This window comes from Homo sapiens, chromosome 3 (assembly GCF_000001405.40).
Source record: "Homo sapiens chromosome 3, GRCh38.p14 Primary Assembly".
Taxonomy (NCBI): Eukaryota; Metazoa; Chordata; class Mammalia; order Primates; family Hominidae; genus Homo; species Homo sapiens.
Genome location: NC_000003.12, coordinates 128,592,704 through 128,608,417, shown reverse-complemented (window position 1 = coordinate 128,608,417; position 15,714 = coordinate 128,592,704). Strand labels below are relative to the sequence as shown.

General features: G+C 52.0%; 1 annotated feature.

Annotated features, from left to right (window-relative positions):
* Positions 5,111 to 5,610: an enhancer, noted in NCBI's record as "H3K4me1 hESC enhancer chr3:128321651-128322150 (GRCh37/hg19 assembly coordinates)". NCBI's record gives its function as "activates a minimal SCP1, AML or CMV promoter by ChIP-STARR-seq in naive H9 embryonic stem cells {active_cell/tissue: H9 hESC(naive)}" and the evidence as "EXISTENCE:reporter gene assay evidence [ECO:0000049][PMID:30033119]".

Below are 15,714 nucleotides of genomic sequence, written 5' to 3'. Positions count from 1 at the left end.
CCTGCCTCAGTTTCCTCGGCTGTGGCGTGGGATTCTCCCCGGGATCGCCTCGCAGGGCTGCTGAGAGGCTCGATGAACGCCAGCGGTTGTTGCGGCGCTGCTGTTCCAAGCCGGGGGTGACGGGAACCCACGTCCTCACGCCCTGGCTGCTCCCGGCTGCCCCGCGGGCCGGCAGCTTCCCGTTCAGGAAACTCAGCCTCGGGAAGGGCGGAGAAAGGTCCCGCGGCTGCGAGGAGCCCAGCGGGGCTTGGCGCCTGATGACCGGCTCCGGAACGGGCTGTTACCCCGCGTATCTCGGTCTCTGCAGCGGCCAAAGTCGCCCGCTGACCTGGAGCACCTGCAGGCCCTGGGCAGAGGACCCGGGGCCATTCCCGCAGCCCTGGCCTGGGAGCTCCGGCTTCTAGTGGTGGCTCCGGGTCAGGTCCTGTGGGGTCCCAGGGACATTCCCAGGCCGAGGTTCCTGTTCAGAGGCCACCCTTTGGCACCAGAGCCATCCAGCGCGGCCTGCGATTCAGGGCCAGAGGAAACAGCAGACACTGAGTGGCTGTCTGGCCCCAGCTTTGCAGAGCCTTTGCTTAGCCGGGAGTGTGGATGCCCGTTGGAGAGCCATGGCTTTTCCCAGCCTGTGTGGCAGCGTTGGGTGGGGCGGCCCCTCTCCTGGGCTGACCCTGAGCAAGGCAATGAGGACCGGTGCAAACTCCTCACAGCCTGTGGGCAGTTCATTAGCTGTGGTTCTCAGGTGCTTCTCATACACACTCTCAGTAGGGCACAACTTCCACGCTTCCATTTACTTATTTAGAAATGTGGTTTGGCTATGTTGGTCAGAGTGGCCTCAAACTCCTGGGCTCAAGCCATCCTCCTGCCTCGGCCTTCTGAGTAGCTGGGACTACAGGCGTGCGCCATTACGCCCTGCTACACATCCCTGCTTTAGCAGGTGAGCGAACGGGGCATGGATAGGGCAAATTCAAGGCTTCACGCCAAGTAATTGGGAGAACCTGGACTTGAACCTAGGTCTTCACCCCTCCCTGACATCAGGGAGATGGCCTTCCTGGAGCTGCAGCCAGATCCCACTGTCCCTGGCATTGTGCTGTGTCCATGCCTGTGCTACACTCCCTACCCTAACCCCCGTCTCACTCCGATTCTCCCCTCCTTCAAGGCTTAACACCTCCACAAATGCCACAAAACCTTCCCCAGTGATCCCCACAGCTACTGGTGTCCTGGGTCTTCGAAGTGTTCCTTCTTGTCTGCCTGGAAAAACTCCTATTCATTCTCTTTTTTTTTGAGATGGAGTCTGGCTCTGTAGCCCAGGCTGGAGTGCAGTGGCACGATCTCGGCTAACTGCAAGCTCCACCTCCTGGGTTCACACCATTCTCCTGCCTCAGCCTCCCGAGTAGCTGGGACTACAGGCACCCGCCACCACGCCCGGCTAATTTTTTGTGTTTTTAGTAGAGACGGGGTTTCACCGTGTTAGCCAGGATGGTCTCGATCTCCTGACCTCGTGATCTGCCTGCCTCGGCCTCCCAAAGTGCTGGGATTACAGGTGTGAGCCCCCGCGCCCCGCTGAAAAACTCCTATTCATTCTCTAAAACCCACCCCCAGGGTTACTCCTGGGAAAGCTTAAGTGCTACTTTCCTTCTCCCTCTCATAGACATGGTTACTGCCTTGCTGGGGTCTCTGTGCACTGGGGTTACAATGTTGTGATGGTATCACCACATCTGTTTATATCCAGATTCATTACAAAATGTTTCTGTGTTTTAAAAATTGTAAAAGTGGTATGGGCCTATAGTCCCAGCTACTTGGGAGGCTGAGGAGGGAGGATCGCTCTAGCTCAGGAGTCTGAGGCAAGCCTGGGTGACGTAGCAAGACCCTGTTTGTAACAACAAAGAGAGATTTTAAAAATTGTAAAAGGCCAGGCGTGGTGGCTCATGCCTGTAATCCGAGCACTTTGGGAAGCTGAGGTGGGCAGATCGCTCAAGCTCAGGAGTTCGAGGCCAGCCTGCCGAACATGATGAAACCCCATCTGTACTAAAAATGTAAAAATTAGCTGGGCACGGAGTCGAGTACTTGTAGTCTCAGCTACTCAGGGGACTGAAGTGGGAGGATTACTTGAGCCTAGGAGGTTGAGGTTGCAGTGAGCTGAGATCACACCACTGCACTCCAGCCTGAGTGACAGAGTGAGCCCTTATCTCAAAAAAAAAAAAAAAAAAATCCCAATTGTAAGAGTTAACACATGCTCATACTAAGGATCCAGACAGATCAGAAGGGTATACAGAGGCAAGCAGAATCTCCGGCTTCCTACCAGCTTCTCTTCCAGAGAAACACAGTGTTAGCAATTTCTTGTGAATTCCTCTGGAAAGTCTCCATTCATTTACAGGATGTCACACTATATTGCTTTAATTATCCTTCTCTGTCCACTGCTCCATACCTAGTTCCCTGAGGACTGGCTAGGATCTGACTTAGGTAGGTGCTGGAATCAGTCCTGGGCCGGGCTGGAAAAGATGATCAGAAAATTTTGCATGGGATAGTTTTATTCCCTCCTGACACCAACTGACCAGATAGCATGGGATCTGGTGAACCTCCTTGCTCCTAATTGGAGGCTGCCATCTCCTAGCTGGCAGATGTATTTTCTTTTCCTTATAGAATATTATTATCATTACTGAAAGATGAATTCATTTTCAACATTTAAAACCTGAGAGATATTACTTAAAAAATATAATTTTCCCATCTGGCACAGAGGTTCATGCCTATAATCCCAGACCTTTGGGAGGCCGAGGTGGGAGGATCGCTTGAGCCCAGGAGTTCAGCCTGGCCAACAGAGGGAGACCTCATCTCTACAAAAAATTTTAATAATTAGCCAGGCATGCGGTATATGCCTGTAGTTCCAGCTATTTGTGAGGCCAAGGTGCAATTGCTTGAGCCCAGGAGGTCGAGGTTACAGTGAGCTATGTTTGTACCACTGCACTCTAGCCTGGGCAACAGAGCAAAACCGCCTCTTAAAAAAAAAAAAAAGAACAGTAGAATTTTCCAGATCTCTTGAAAAGGTTCAGAGGGTTCAACTGAGCACTCAGGTCTGTGCAGCCTCACCTCACTCCTTGTCCCCGAACCCCGGGGCCCCTAAGCCTGTGTCCCATGTCCTTGGCAACCTAATGAGGAAGATGGACCTGCATGAAAATAGTCCATGACAAGTGACTGCAGCAGCTGAGTTTCCCAGCAGAGGTGGGAGAATGATTGAGACGGACCCCAGGCTGGGGACTCTGCAGAAGCGTGAACCCCAGTGCTGTCCTGTGGGACACATACTCCTCCCGGTCCATGGGGTTCACACTCTGGATCCTCACTGTTCTGTTCACTGCAGAGAGGAGCAGGGGTGGGAAGTGGGTGGGCCTGTTTCAGGGTGGCCCCTGCTCAGCTCCAGGCATAGGGCCACGAAGGAATGTGGGCTCAGAGTGGCCAGAGCTTCCAAAGCAAAGCTGGAAATACAGCCTGAAAGAATGGACTTAAAGAAAATAAAAACCTGGTAACCCATGCAGCAAGCTCCGTATGCCAGTGGCCCTCAGTTTATGTCTCTGATTTGCTGGTACCCTCATTGCTTTAGAGAAAAGTTTCCCCCACCTAAGAAATAGGAAGTTCCTAATGGCAGAACCCAGGACAGCCCTTTCAATGGCTGCATTTTGCTTTATAGAAAACCCACCAGGCTGCCCCTGAGCTTCTGGTTGTCCCATGAGGAGAGGGAACTTCACTGGCCTGAGCCTGTCGACCGTGTGTGGTCCTGAATATGATGACCCCAGAGCAACCCCCAGCCTCCTCCTGCAGTCCTGCTGTGCTCTGCCAAGTCCAGTCCTGCCTGGCTGCAGAAACACAGGGACACTCTGCAGCACTGAGAGAAGTGCTCGCCAAGGAGAAACACATGTCTTCCTCCAGGGAAGCCACCTTGGGGGCTGGCAGGGCCAGGGACTGGAGCGCAGGGTTCTGGGCCAGGAGGTTTGGAGTCAGCTCTGGCTTTGGGGAGCTTCCAGGCTGAGGAGGCTCAGCAGGCAGCAGCTCCCTCCCACCCTCCTGCACAGCCAGGACCTGCCTGGGCATCAGACTGGCCCATGATACAAGCCTGCCTTCACACCTTGGCCTCTTCCCCCTCCAGGTGTCCAGAGCCCGGCTGGCGCAGGTGGGGCAGCCAGGCTGAGGCCGCAGGGCAAGGCCGGGCTGAGCTGTCCTTTTGCCTCTCTCCGGGTGAGGCCTCCTCTGTCCTTCCTTTCCCAGTGCCCCCCCGCCCTGCTCCTCTGCGGGGGTACAGCATGGGGAGGTTGTTGACAATTTGTGCATTAATCTCTCTGCCGGGGGCCTCCTGGTCAGGTGGTGCTTATCAGGGCCCTGCTCCTGTCAGATGGGCCTTCCGGAGCCCGTGGGCGAGGGGGGGTGGCAGAAGCCCCTGCTGCAGGGCCTGGAGGCTGCCTCACCATCCCCAGGCCTTCACATCCCCTTGCGCCCCCGCGGGCAGCCTGCTTTACCACATCAGGATACAGAACATTGCATGAATTCCGGTCTCAATGGAATTATTTCAGAATTCTGGTCAACCGCAAGCTCAGGGTATTTCACAAACTATCTATCACTGCTGTGCGGTGGGCAGAGTCTGGGCAGGGGGCAAGTAACGGATGCAGGGAGGCCCCGTCCACTGCCTGTGGGGGTGGCATGTCCCCCCCAGTGGCACCCCTGCCTCTGCAGACAGATGGCGTGTCCCCTGCCCCCCATCAGCAGGGGAGCTCAGGCCTGGAGTGGGGGCTTAGGAGAGGCAGCGGGAGGCCAGGCCCTGGCTTTGAGGGTACCTTCGAGAGGGCACCCAGGTTTGGGGCCCACTCCTACCAGCGTGGGGCCTTGGCAGGTGCTTGGAGTCTCAGTTGTTCCAGCTGTAAAATGGGATCATGATGCCCAGCCCCCATTAAGCAAATGTTCAGAGATCGGCAAGATGCGTGCCCTTGCCGATTCTCTTAGCATTTCAGGATTACTACAGGGCAGCATCTATGAAGTGCCTGGCTGAAAGTGGGTGCTCCATGACTGGGAGCTGTACCGTAATGAGAGCAATACTATGAATCATTCTCCTGATAACACCTCCCCACCCCTCTATACTTGAGATCATGCATAGAACTTGGGGGAAGGAGAGACCCTACCTCCAGGGTGGCAGACATCTGCACACTACCCGTCCTCTACTGTGGCGAAGGTGGCAACATCTCCAAGGAGCTCCTTCCTTCAATCATGGACGGTGCCTCAGAATCCTCCTCATCACAGTGCTGGACATCATTACCGACCCCTCAGAGTAGGCGCCAGAGGAAGCCGCTTAATTATTCTGGCCCCAACTCGTGAGAGTGGTCTGAATTGGCAGGGCAAGGGGTCCCCCCTCTGCTTCCTAAACTTTCCTGGAAGCTCCAGGTCCTTTCTCCAGAACCTGGCCCCAGCCACCTTTCCCAGAGGCAGGGATTGGAGGGCCAATCTCGTCTCTCCCTCTGCAGGCCTCCTGCTGACCATGAGTGATTAGGCCCCGCACTGGGAGGAAGGAGATCCGGGCCCCCAGGCTGGCACAGGCTCCAGTTCCCACAAGGGTCTAGGACTCCAGGCCGTCTGTTTAGCAAGACGCTCTTAGGCAGCATGGCCAAAGTTGGGCTGGAGCACCCGGGGGCTCTGCTGGCCCAAGCCAAACTCAGACTGCCCAGCCAGTGGGGATGGGCTCCAGGGCCTGAATCTGGGATAACAGCGCTGTCCCTCTTGGGCAGAGGGTAGGGGAGGACAAGGCCCTCGTCTAAACATTTTTCAAGCCCACTTTGGGACCCCCAGCTGGCTGAGGGTATCAACAAGAGTTGGGGAGGGAACTTTTGAAATCAGGAGGCCTGAGAAACCCAGGACTCCTGTCCTTGTGGTAAGGCTATGAGGGATACAGAGCTTGCGGCAATTCCCCAAGGCCATTTAAATCATTCTCCACCCCGATGATGGCTTTTTCTTGTCCCTTTAATGAGATGCTCCCCCTGCCCCCACAGCCATTTTGCAAGCTTTCCTGGGGTCCTGCGCACCTGTGGGCTGAGATCCAAGGCTGTGTGAATTCTTCCATAGACAGGACCAGAGTGCACAGCCATTCAGCCTGTGGTACCTGGGCTTCACCTGTTATTTTGGAGATTGCGTATATTGGTTATGTTTTTCTGCCTCATTCTTTTCTTTATTTTTAAACTTTTGGCCGGGCAGGGGAGCTCACATCCACAGTCCCAGCACTTTGGGAGGCCGAGGTGTGGGCAGATTGCTTGAGCTCAGGAGTTTGAGACTGGCCTGGGCAGCATGGCGAAACCCCGTCTATACAAAAATCAACCAGGCATGATGGCTTGTGCCTGTAATCCCAGCTACTTGGGAGGCTGAGGCAGGAGAATCGCTTGAACCTGGGAGGCAGAGGTTGCGGTGAGTTGAGATCGCGCCATTGCATTCCAGCCTGGGTGACAAGAGTGAAACTCCGTCTCAAAAAAAAAAAAAAAATTTAGCTGGGCGTGGTGGCAGGTGCCTGTAGTTCCAGCTACTCAGGAGGCTGAGGCAGGAGAATCGCTTGAACCTGGGAGTTGGAAGTTGTAGTGAGCCGAGATCGCACCATTGCACTACAGCCTGGGTGACAAGAGTGAAACTTCGTCTCAAAAAAAAAAAAAAAAAAAGCACTTTGGGAGGCCGAGGTGGGCAGATCACGAGGTCAGGAGATTGAGACCATCTGGCTAACATGGTGAAACCCTGTCTCTACTAAAAATACAAAAAATTAGCTGGGCGTGGTGGTAGGCACCTGTAGTCCCAGCTACTTGGGAGGCTGAGGCAGGAGAATGGCATGAACCTAGGAGGCGGAGCTTGCAGTGAGCCGAGATCGCGCCACTGCACTCCAGCCTGGGCGACAGAGCGAGACTCAGTCTCAAAAAAACCAAAAAAACAAAAAAACAAAAAACGGGCTGGGTGCGGTGGCTCACGCCTGTAATCTCAGCACTTTGGGAGGCTGAGGTGGGTGGATCATCTGAGGTCAGAAGTTCGAGACCAGCCTGGCCAACATGGTGAAACCCCATCTCTACTAAAAATACAAAAATTAGCCGGGTGGCAGTGGTGCGCGTCTGTAATCCCAGCTACTGAGGAGGCTGAGGCGGGAGAATTGCTTGAGCCTGGGAGGCAGAGGTTGTGGTGAGCTGAGATCATGCCACTGGGCTCACTCCAGTCGGGGTGACAGAATGAGACCCTGTCTCAAAAAAAAAAAAAAGAAGGACATTACAGTTTTTAAATGTTGCCTCTAAATTTGCCTGTGAACCAACTATTGGACAGAATTGATGAATTATTTTGTCAGCGATGATAATGTGTTTTGACTATACAGAAAAACTTTATTTTTTCACTTGTGCCCTGGAGTATATAAAGGTGTATGAAGACATGATGGCTGTGTTCTACTGAGAAATATGTCAGCATAAAACATAAAATGAATTAAGGTTTTCTTCTGCATAAAATGAATTAAGTTTAACCTCAAATCGGAGCTTCACATCAGCGTTCCAGAGATAAAGGTCATAAAGTTGAGGACTGGCTGAGAAAGAGGGTGGCTCTAGGGCAGGCCTGGGGAAGCCGAGGAGGTAAGGGACTCAGGGAGGGAGGGGCCCAGGCCCTGGCAGGGGGCAGCAGGTAGAGGAGGGTGGCTGGGGCTTCAGAAGGACTTGTGAGCTGGGTGCTGTTCTAAGCACTTCTGCACAAACTAACTCATTTCATCCAAGCAATGGCCCGAAGCGGTGGGAACTGTTATTGTGCCCATTTCAAAAATAAGGAAACTGGCCTGGCATGGTGGCTCACACCTGTGATCCCAGCACTTTAGGAGGCTGAGGTGGTCAGATCATCTGAGGTCAGGAGTTCAAGACCAACCTGGCCAACATGGTGAAACCCCATCTCTACTAAGAATACAAAAAAAATTAGCTGAATGTGGTGGTGGGCACCTGTAATCCCAGCTATTTGGGAGGCTAAGGCAGGAGGATCGCTTGAACCCTGGAAGCAGAGGTTGCAGTGAGCTGAGATTGCACCACTGCACTCCAGCCTGGGTGATAGAGTGAGACTCTGTCTCAAAAAAAAAAAAAAAGGAAACTGAGCCAAAAAGAGGTTAGGACCTTGCCACAGACACTGGCAGGGGACTGCAGGAGTGGGGACAGGAGCCCAGGAAGCCTGTCTTTGCTGTTAACCACCAGCTTCACCTGGCGGGACCACAGGTGGCCTGGAAGTTTTAAAGTTGCATTTATTTATTTATTTATTTATTTAGATGGAGTTTTGCTCTCGTTGCCCAGACTGGAGTGCAGTGGCGCGATCTCGGCTCACTGCAACCTCTGCCTCAAAATGATTCTCCTGCCTCAGCCTCCCTAGTAGCTGGGATTACAGGCGCCCACTACCGTGCCCACCTAATTTTTTTTTTTTTTTTTGTATTTTTAGTAGAGATGCGGTTTCACTATGTTGGCCAGGCTGGTCTCCAACTCCTGACCTCAGGTGATCCACCCACCTTGGCCTCCCAAAGTGCTGGGATTACAGGCGTGAACCATCACACCTGGCTTGCATTTATTTATTATTTTATTTTCTGAGTTAGAATCTCGCTCTGTTGCCCAAGCTGGAGTGCAGTGGCATGATAACAGCTCACTGCAGCCTCAACCTCCTGGGCTCAAGTAATCCTCCCATCTCAGCCCCCACCTCTCTGCTCCAGTAGCTGGGACTACAGGTGTGTGCCACCACACCCAGCTAAGTTTTTTTTAGAGATGGGGGTCTCACTATGTTGCCCAGGCTGGTCTTGAACTCCTGGACTCAAGTGATCCTCCTGCCTTGACTTCCCAAAATGTTGGGATTACAGGCGTGAGTCACTGCTCCCGGCCTGTATCTATTTATTCTGAGAAGTGATATAACATTGCAGAAAGTTTTAAAAATAACAAAACCAAAATGAACAAACAAAACATTTCCCCACAAAACCGCATTCCCACCATGATCATTTGGGTGTGTCCTTGCCCAGTGGACATTTTCATGAACATAACTTTTTCTTTTTTCTTCCCCTCCCTTTATCTGTTTTTTTTTTTTAATGACTTTCTAAGACTAGATTTCCAGAAATAAATGAACAGGGCAAGGGGGATAGTTTATAAAATATATTTTTAATAGTTTCTGGCAGCGATTATGTGAGGCCCAAACTGAAAGTAGGGGACTCTCATTTGTGGAGGTTCACAGATCAGAAGATGCATCTCAGATCACTTTCGGGAAGCTTCCGGGCAGTGCCGTTTGTCGGTGTCATCATCGTCCTTATCGCTGACAGCCATCTTCGCTGCATTATCTGCAGCCCTTTCGGGAAGTGCCAGGGGCTTGGTAGAGAGGACCCAGCCCCAGGCTCGGCCTGCCTTGGGGCAGATGCACGCCACAAGCATGGAGCCCACGGAAGAGCACCCTCAAACCCAGGCAGCCCTGTGTGCACGGCCTGGGGAGCAGGGCTGAGGGCCCTGAGACCTGAGATCGCAGACGCCAAGCCTCCTGGGGCCCCTGCTGTGTTGGGGGGGTGGACTGCGGAGGTGCCATTCTTAAATACCTGGCTGAACATTACCCCCCTGGGGAGGAGCAGTGCGCAGCCGTTACCACATTGAGAGGGAGCTTTGGCCCAGCGGTGCTGCACATAGTGAACAGGACAGGCGTCTGCAGATGGACTGCACGTGAACATTCTGCATGTCCACAGAATAAGACTTGAGGCCCTTCAATTTATTTTCTATTTTCCAATTTTTGATGGAGACATGGGTACCAAGGACTATGCCTCCACCACAAGCAGACCAACAGCATAAGGGCCCTTAAAAATGAAAACAGTAGGGTTGGGTGTGGTGGCTCACACCTGTAATCCTAGTACTTTGGGAGGCCTGAGATCAGAAGTTCGAGGCCAGCCTGGGCAACATGGTGAAACTCCATCTCTTCTAAAGTACAAAAAATTAGCTGGGCGTGGTGGCACGTGCCTGTGATCCCAGCTACTTGGGAGGCTGAGGCAGAAGAATCGCTTGAACCCGGGAGGCGGAGGTTAAAGTGAGCTGAGATCGCACCGCTGCATTCCAGCCTGGGTGAAAGAGCAAGACTCTGCCTCCAGAAAAGAAAGAAAACAGTAGTTCGGCTGCAGGTGGCGGGGACTGGGGCAAACTGATGCTCACATGTTTCACGCAAAGAGGTAGCTGCTGCTCAGCACTAGCTGACTGGGGATCTGTGAGAGTATGGGCCTAGGGCTGGCAGATCTACTTTTTTCCTAGAGAAATGTGAAATTTGGATTTTAAAAAGTGCAATCCTTTGATATTTATATGTTGACTCAGATGTGTTTGAATCACCATGTAGGCCTGACAAAGCTCGCTGGAGGGCTGCACCAGGCGTGGAGAAGCAGCTGGGACAGCAACATCTGTCACCGGTTGGTATGGCAAGGGCTGGGCACTCACAGGAGCCTGAGAAACACCAGTGTCCACCCTGCCCATCTTGGTTGTGGGGGTTGGAAGAAGCAGCAGACCCCTGCCCTCACCCATGAGTCTCAAGCATGGCCCTTGTGTTTTGGAGCAGGGGACCTAATGAACTGCTGGCTTTCTAGAATGTCTGCCCAGGGCCAAGGCCACCACCCCCTGCTGGGCATCCGGCCCCAGTGCCCAGGGCATGGAGGGGGCTGAGAGGACAGCACCAGCAGGGTGATGTTGTCTTCTCTCTCCAGGGGTTAGGCCCTGCAGCCAGGCAGACAGGCTCTAGCCTTAGCTCTGCACTCAATCCTGTGTGAGCTGAGGCTTCTGGTCCCGGAGGCCCTGCTTCTTCATCTCTAAAATTGGGTGCACGATGCCAGCCTCTTAATATTGCTCGAGGATGAGAGTAGCTTAGTGCAGAGGGCACTTAGCCTGGTGGCAGGCACGCAGTGGGTCTCCCTAAACACTACTCTCCCCCTTGCCACTCCTCAGTCCCAACTCGGTGAGCAGAGATCTCCCTGGCCAACCTCCTGGCTCAATGACCTTTGGCAGATGACTTACCCTCTGTGTGCCTCAGCTTTTCCATCTTTGGAGTGGGGGGACTCATAGCAACTACCTTGTCAGGAGTAATGGGACAATAGACCTAAGACCCTGCAAGCAGGACCGCTGCCTCTGCTCCTCAGTGCTTCCTCTGATTTCTGGTCTCAGTGAAGCCATTTGTATGTAGGGATTAGGTGTTAGACTTCAGCTTTCCTTTTCCTTCCTTCCTTCCTTCCTTCCTTCCTTCCTTCCTTCCTTCCTTCTTTCCTTCCTTCCTTCCTTCTCTCCTTCCTTCCTTCCTTCTCTCCTTCCTTCCTTCCTTCCTTCCTTCCTTCCTTCCTTCCTTCCTTCCTTCCTTCCTTCCTTCCTTCCTTTCTTTCTTTCTTTCTTTCTTTCTTTCTTTCTTTCTTTCTTTCTTTCTTTCTTTCTTTCTTTCTTTCTTTCCTCTTTCTCTCTCTCTCTGTCTCTCTCTCTTTCTCTTGACGGAGTTTCACTCTGTCACCCAGGCTAGAGTGCAGTGGCGTGATCTTGGCTCACCGCAACCTCTGCCTGCTGGACTCAAGCTATTCTCCTGCCTCAGCCTCCTGAGTAGCTGGGACTACAGGCACCCACCACCATGGCTGGCTAATTTTTGTATTTTTAGTAGAGATGGGGTTTCACCTTGTTGGCCAGGCTGGTCTTGAACTCCCAATCTCAGATGATCTGCCCACCTAGGATTCCAGACATGAGCTACTGTGCCTGGCATTTTTTTTTTTTTTTAGACAAGGTCTCACTCTGTCACCCAGGCTGGAGTGCAGTGGCACAATCTTGGCTCGCTGCAACCTCCACCTCCCAGGCTTAAGCAATCCTCCCACCTCAGCATCCCAAGTAGCTAGGACCACAGGTACACACCACCACACTGGCTAATTTTTGTATTTTTTGTAGAGACAGGGTTTTGCTATGCTGGCCAGGCTGTTCTCGAACTCCTGGGCTCAAGGTATCTGCCCACCTTGGCCTCCCAAAGTGTTGGGATTACAGGCATGAGCCACTGTGCCCCGCCCAGCTTTTCTTTTCCGTTTTTCTTTTCGTCTTCTATGACTTGGGGACCAAAGACTTCAGCTTTTCTAATTTTTTTTTTTTTTTTCAGACAGTCTCGCTCTGTGGCCCAGGCTGGAGTGCAGTGGCACAATCTTGGCTCACTGCAAACTCTGCCTCCTGGGTTCAAGCAATTCTCCTGCCTCAGCCTCCCGAGTAGCTGGGATTATAGGCACAGGTCACCATACCTGGCTAATTTTTGTATTTTTTAGTAAAGATGAGGTTTTGCCATGTTGACCAGGCTGGTCTCGAGCTCCTGACCTCAAGTGATCCGCCTGCCTCGGCCTCCTAAAGTGCTGGAGTTACAGGTGTGAGCCACAGCACCCAGGCAGCTTTTCTGATTTTTGAAAGAGGAGAGGGCACTGCTGGGCACAGAGAAATAACTCTTAAAAAAAAGGAATTGAGGTAAGTGTGCACGGTCAGAGGGCTGTCCTCCATTACATCATGTTGACACTGGCCTCTCCCTTCCCAGTGGTCCCACTGAGGCCCCAGAAGTGCAAACCTGACACCAGATCAAGCTGCCACACTGTACAACTCAGGAATGCCAGGCCTGTTTGAGTCTTTGTGAAAGGTGCTGCCCTGGCCTGTGTGTCCACATTAATCTCCTTAAACCAGACAGTGTGAATGTGGAACAAGAAACGGTGCCTCCACCACACGAAGAGCAACAGCGTAAGGGCCTTTAAAAACGAAAGCAGTATCTCAGCTTCCATGACAGGTGGCAATAGGAAGTGGTGGGGACTTTGGCAAACTGGTGCACATATGTTCCACGCAGGAAGGTGGCTGCTGCTTGGTGCCTGCTGACTGGGGCTATGTGGGAAGTTTTTTTTTTTTTAATTTTTATTTTTTTTTGAGACAGAGTCTCACTCTGTCACTCAGGCTGGAGTGCAGTGGCACGATCTTGGCTCACTGCAACCTCTGCCTCCCGGGTTCAAGCAATTCTCCTGCCTCAGCCTCCCGAGGAGCTGGGACTACAGGCGCTCACGACTACGTCCAGCTAATTTTTAGTAGAGATGGAGTTTCACCATATTGGCTGGTCTGGTCTCAAACTCCTGACCTTGTGATCTGCCTGCCTCGCCCTCCCAAAGTGCTGGGATTACAGGCTTGAGCCACCTCTCCTGGCCAGGAAGTTTAAACCGTGTCAGTGGCTTGATCTCCCTGTGCCTCATTTTCCTCACCTGAAAGTGGGGATCACACCAGTAACTTCTGCGTGCAGTTGTTGTGAGAATCAATTAAGCCCAGCACTTGAAGCTGTGCCCTGCTATGTAAGTGTTACTATGACCATTTAATCTTCCCTCCACTGGGACATCGGTCTGTGCCCACAGGCGACAGTGGAGGGGAGATGTGTCCTGTAACCAAATGGATCAATAATAATGCTGTAATAGCAAGTAACTTGCTGTGTGCAAGGCCCTTTCATCTATATTATCTCATTTCATCTTCATGCTCGTCCTGGGAGTTCTCAACCCTAGGTTACAAAGAGGAAACAGGCACAGGGCAGAGGTCTGCCTGGAGGTGGCAAAGGCCGAGTCACTGCTGTTTCCAGCTCGGTGGTTGGCCCGATGCTGAGCAGGCTGGGAATGTTCCTTATAAGCAAAAGCACCGCTGCTCCAGTGAAGCGGCTCTGGTCCGGGATGTGATGGGATGTTCTGGAGCAGACACAGTTTTGTCTTTCTGAGTGTTTTCTCCCTAAAGGGAAGGGGCTCTGGGAAAAGGTAGAAGGGACGATCCTCAGAAGACTACAGGACTCTGCTCATCAATTTCATTTTCCTTTTGGTGCCGAGGGGAGGAAAACCATGTTTCCTGAGCATCCACCACACATCAGACACCACCAGCACATCCAGCCTCAGTGTTGCTAACCCTCCCGGCAGGCCCCACTGCATAGTGTGACGCACTTGGGGAGGGCTGAGACTTGGAGCTGAAGTCCCCTGCCCAAAGGCATGCTGGGCCTTGAGCCAGGCCTGCATCACAGATGGGAGACCCTGGTATTTCTGCTGCACTCCAAGGGGGTGGAGAGAGACCTCCTTGGCCAGTGTGCTTCTCCTGTGTGCTCCTATTCTATGGGACTCGCCTCCCTGGATGAAGTCCTCCTTCTCAGGCCCAGCTCCCCGTGTGCTGCAGCGAGGGCCCTGTGATGGTTCCTCTCGGGGGGCCCAGGAAGCAGCACCCAAGGACACATGTGGATCCTGAGTCTCCCTCACCCTCTTGCAGGGGCTTGTCTCATTTCCCCGATCTGTGCTGTGGCCTCAACTCTTGGAATGCCTCATCTGATCATGGCAAAGTTAATGAGGCTGCAAGTTGCTTCTGTGTTTTTAAAAACTGAAATCTTGATTGAGATGATTGTAGATTCACATGCAGTTGTAAGAAGTAATACAGAGGAATCCCATGTACCGCTCACCCAGTTTCCCCTGACAGTGACATCTCATAAAACTGCAGTGGGACACACAGCCAGGATATTGATATTAATTCAATCGTCCTATCTTCTGCAGGTTTCCCTAGCTCTGTCTGCACACCCATGGTGCGCCCGTATGTGTGTGTGTGCACGTGTGCACTGTGTATTTAGTTCTCTGCAATTCTATCACCTGTGCTGCTGTGCATATCCCACTGCAGTGAGATTACCAGCACTTCCCACACCACAGCCTCCCTCCTGTTGCCCTTGCCCATGAAACCTCAGCGCTGGGCTCCATGCTGGAGCTGCTCACACCAGCCTCTTTATGTGAGCTTTATAGCAGACCTGGAGGTTGGCACAGCTGCCCCATCGTGGGTTAGTTTGCCACCATTGTGCTGCCTGTCAGGGATGGCTAGGACAGGAGGAGCCAGTACCATCTCAGGACCATGTGACAGCCACCAGGCCTTTCCTTTTACCTTCACCATTTCTGTATTACTATTATTAGAACAGTAATACATGCTTCTTAAAAAAAATTAAAGATGACAGAAGAGGTAAAAAGTGAAAGATCTGTGTTTTTCCATCTTCCCCAGCAGGGTCCTCTGTTTGTTAGTGTAGTCTTCAAGACTTTTTCTATATATTTACAAGTATATATGTGAATATCCTATTATCTCTTCCTGTTTTTTTTAAACACATTGAAGTGCACTAGACACACTGTTATTCACTCACTTTTCATTGAATCACAAATCCTGTACATCTTTCCATGTCTCTACGTAGAGATCTTTTTCATTCCTTTCCTTTTAAAATTTAAATCTATGTTAAAAGACTTCTGTTGAATTCATGGGATTTAATATTCACAAGGCACAAAAGAGCATGCAGTGCAAGCCCCCTCCTCCCGTGGCCTGACCCCGCCCTCAGTTATGTTCTGTAGAGACAAGTATTGTCAGTTCCTTGTGGATTCTTCCAGAGAGAGGTTTTGCATACACAAGCAGATACATAGATACATCCTCCCCTTCCTTCTCATGCCCAGGGTTCTGCACCTTGGTTTCTTTTCATGGGATAGTGTTTCTTGGAGACCCATTGGTAAGCGTTTCCTCCCTCTTTTAAATTTAATTTAATTTTTTTTGAGATGGAGTCTCGCTCTGTCACCTAGGATGGAGTGCAGTGGCGCGATCTCGGCTCACTGCAACCTCCGCCTCCCAGGTTCAAGCGATTCTCTTGCCTCAGACTCTGGAGTAGCTAGGACTACAGGCATGC